Source organism: Homo sapiens, chromosome 11 (genome assembly GCF_000001405.40).
Source record: "Homo sapiens chromosome 11, GRCh38.p14 Primary Assembly".
Classification (NCBI taxonomy): Eukaryota; Metazoa; Chordata; class Mammalia; order Primates; family Hominidae; genus Homo; species Homo sapiens.
The window spans coordinates 48871555-48875565 of record NC_000011.10 but is presented as its reverse complement, the minus strand read 5'-3'; the positions used below and the strand labels follow the sequence as shown (position 1 = coordinate 48875565).

General features: G+C 37.1%; 1 annotated feature.

Moving 5' to 3' along the window:
* Window positions 395–1210: an enhancer, noted in NCBI's record as "OCT4 hESC enhancer chr11:48895908-48896723 (GRCh37/hg19 assembly coordinates)". NCBI's record gives its function as "activates a minimal SCP1, AML or CMV promoter by ChIP-STARR-seq in primed H9 embryonic stem cells {active_cell/tissue: H9 hESC(primed)}" and the evidence as "EXISTENCE:reporter gene assay evidence [ECO:0000049][PMID:30033119]".

Genomic DNA, 4011 nt, shown 5'->3' with positions numbered 1-4011 from the left:
ATATCCACTTGCAGATTCTACGAAAAGTGTTGCAAAACTGCTCTCTCAATAGGAAGGTTTAACTCTGTGAATTGAATGCACACATAACAAAGTAGTTCCTGAGAATGCTTCTGTCTAGTTTATATGTGGAGGTATTCCCGTTTCCAACGAAGGCACCAAAGCAGTACAAATATCCACTTGCAGATTCCACAAAAAGAGTGTTTCAAAACTGCTATATCAAAAGGAAGGTTCAACTCTGTGACTTCAATACACACATCACAAAGAAGTTTCTGAGAATGCTTCTGTCTAGTTTTTATGTGAACATGTTCCTGTTTCCAACGAAGGCCTCAAAGCTCTCCAAATATCCACTTGCAGATTCTACAAAAAGAGTGTTTCAAAACTGCTCTACCAAAACGAAGGTTCAACTCAATGAGCAAAATGCAGACATCACAAAGAAGTTTCTGAATATGCTTCTGTCTAGTTTTTATGTGAAGATATTCCCGTTTCCAACGAAGGCCTCAAAGCGGTCCCAATATCCACTTGCAGATACTACAAAAAGAGTGTTTCAAAACTGCCCTATCAAAAGGATTGTTCAATTCTGTGAGTTGAATGCACACATCACAAAGAAGTTTCTGAGAATGCTTCTGTCTAGTTTTTATGTGAAGATATTCCCGTTTCCAATGCAGGCCTCAAAGCAGTCCAAATATCCACTTGCAGATTCTACAAAAAGAGTGTTTCAAAACTGCTCTATCAAAACAAAAGGTCAACTCTTTCAGCTGAATGCACACATGACAAAGAAGTTCCTGAGACTGGTTCTGTCTAGTTTTTATGTGAAGATATCCCTGTTTCAACCTTAGGCCTCAAAGCGCTCCAAATATCCATTTGCAGATTCTACAAAAAGAGTGTTTCAAAACTGCTCCATCAGAAGGAAGGTTCAACTCTGTGAGTTGAATGTGCACATCACAAAGAAGATTCTGAGAATGCTTCTGTCTAGATTTTATGTGAAGATAGTCCCATTTCCAACGAAGGTCTCAAAGTGTTCCCAATATCCACTTGCAGATTCTACAAAAAGGGTGTTTCACAACTGCTCTATGAAAAGGTGTGTTCAACTCTGTGAGTTGAAGGCAATCATAACAAAGAAGTTTCTGAGAATGCTTCTGTCTAGTTTTTATGTGGAGATACTTCCTTTTCCACCATTGTCCTCAGAGCACTCCAAATGTCAACTTGCAGATTCTAGAAGAAGAGTGTTTCAAAACTGCTCTATCAAAAGAAAAATTAAACTCTGTGAGTTGAATGCACACATAAAAAGAAGTTTCTGAGAATGCTTCTGTGTAGTTTTTATGTGCAGATATTCCCATTTCCAACAAAGGCCTCAAAGCAGTCCAAATATCTACTAGCAGATTCTACAAAAAGAGTGTTTCAAAACTGTTTTATCAAAAGAAAGGTTGACTTCTGTGAGTTGAATGCACACAAAAAATGAAGTTACTGAATATGCTTCTATCTAGTTTTTATGTGAAGATATTCCCGTTTCAACTGTAGGACTCAACGTGCTCTAAATATCCACTTTCAGAGTCTACAAAAAGCGTGTTTCAAAACTGCTCTATCAAAAGAAAGGTTCAACTCTGTGAGATGAATGCACACATCACAAGAAGTTTCTGAGAATACATCTGTCTCATTTTTAAATGAAGATATTCTCCTTTCCAAAGAAGGTCTCAAAGCGGTCCAAATATCCACTTGCAGATTCTACAAAAAGAGTGTTTCAAAACTGCTCTATGGAAAGGTATGTATAACTCTGTTAGTTGAATGCAATCTTCACAAGAAGTTTCTGAGAATGCTTCTGTCTAGTTTTTATGTGAAGATATTCCCATTTAAACCGTGGGCCTCAAAATGCACCAAATATCCACACTCATATTCTACAAAACAAATGTTTCAAAAATGCTCTATCAAAGGGAAGGTTCATCTCTGTTAGTTGAATGCACACATCACAAACTAGTTTCTGAGAATGCTTCTGTCTAGTTTTTATATGAAGATATTTCCTTTTCTACCATAGGCCTCACATCGCTCCAAATATCCACTTGCAGATTCTGCAAAAAGAGTGTTTGAAAACTGCTCTATCAAAAGGAAGGTTCAACTCTGTCAGTTGAATGCCCACATTACAAAGAAGTTTCTGAGAATTCTTCATATAGTTTTTATGTGAAGATATTCCCGTTTCCAACGAAGGCCACAAAGCAATCCAAATATCCAATTGCAGATTCTACAAAAACAGTTTATCAAAACTGCTTTAAGAAAAGGTATGTTCAACTCTGTGACTTGAATGCAAACATCACAAAGAAGTTTCTGAGAATGCTTCTCTCTAGTTTTTAGGTGAAGATATTTCCTTTTCCACCGTAGGCCTCAAAGGGTTCCAAATGTCCACTTGCAGATCCTACTAAAACAGTGTTTCAGAATTGCTCTAACAAAAGAAAGGTTCAACCCTGTGAGTTGAATGCACACATCAGAAGGAAGATTCTGAGAATGCTTCTGTCTAGATTTTATGTGAAGATATTCCAGTTTCAACCATAGTCCTCAAAGCGGTCCAAATATCCACTTACAGATTCTACAAAAAGAGTGTGTGAATACTGCTCTATCAAAAGAAAGGTTCAATTCTGTGAGTTGAATGCACACATCACAAAGAAGTTTCTGAGAATGCTTCTGTCTAGTTTTTATGTGAAGATATTCCCGTTTCCACTGTAGGACTCAAAGCTCTCCAAATATCCACTTGCAGATTCTACAAAAAGAGTGTTTCAATACTGCTCTATCAATACGAAGGTTCAACTCTGTGAGTTGAATGCACACATCACAAAGAAGTTTCTGAGAATGCTTCTGTCTAGTTTTTATGGGAAGATATTCCCGTTTCCTACGAAGGCCTAAAAGCAGTCCAAATATCCACTTGCACATTCTACAAAAAGAGTGTTTCATAACTGTTCTATCAAAAGGAATGTTCAACTCTGTGAATTGAATGCACACATAACAAAGAAGTTCCTGAGAATGCTTCTGTCTAGTTTTTATGTGAAGATATTCCCGTTTCCAAAGAGGGGCTCCAAGCAGTGCAAATACCCACTTGAGGATTCTACAAAAAGTGTGTTTCCAAACTGCTCTTTCAAAAGGACACTTTAATTTTGTGAATTGAATGCACAAATAACAAAGAAGTTTCTGAGAATGCTTCTGTATAGTTTTTATGTGAAGATATTCCCGTTTCTAATGAATGCCTCAAAGCATCCAAATATCCACTTGCAGATTGTACAAAAACAGTGTTTCAAAACTGCTCTATCAAAAGAAGGGTTCAAATCCGTCAGTTGAATGCACACATAACAAAGGAGTTTCTGAGAATGATTCAGTCTATTTTTTATGTGAAGATATTCCCTTTTCAACCGTAGGACTCAAAGTGCTCCAAATATCCACTGGCAGATTCTACAAAAAGTGTGTTTCAAACCTGATCGATCAAAAGGAAGGTTCAGCCCTGTGAGTTGAATGCACACATCACAAAGAAGTTTCTGAGAATGCTTCTGTCTAGTTTTTATGTGAAGATATTCCAATTTCCAACAAAGGCCTCAAAGCGGTACAAATATCCACTTGCAGATCCTACAAAAAGAGTGTTTAAAAACTGCTCTCTGGAAAGGTATGTTCAACTCTGTTAGTTGAATTTTATCATCACAAAGAAGTTTCTGAGAATGCTTCTGTCTAGATTTTATGTGAAGATATTCCCGTTTCATCCGTAGGCCTCAAAATGCACCAAATATCCACATGCAGATTCTACAAAAAGAGTGTTTCAAAACTGCTCTATCAAAAGCAACGTTCAACTCTGTGAGTTGAATGCACACATCACAAAGTAGTTTCTGAGAATGCGTCTGTCTAGTTTTTATGTGAAGATATCCTGATTTCCAATGAAGGCCTCAAAGCAGTCCTAATATCCTTTGGCAGATTCTACAAAAAGAGTGTTTAAAAACCACTCTATGAAAAGGCATGTTAAACAATCTGAATTGAATGCAATCA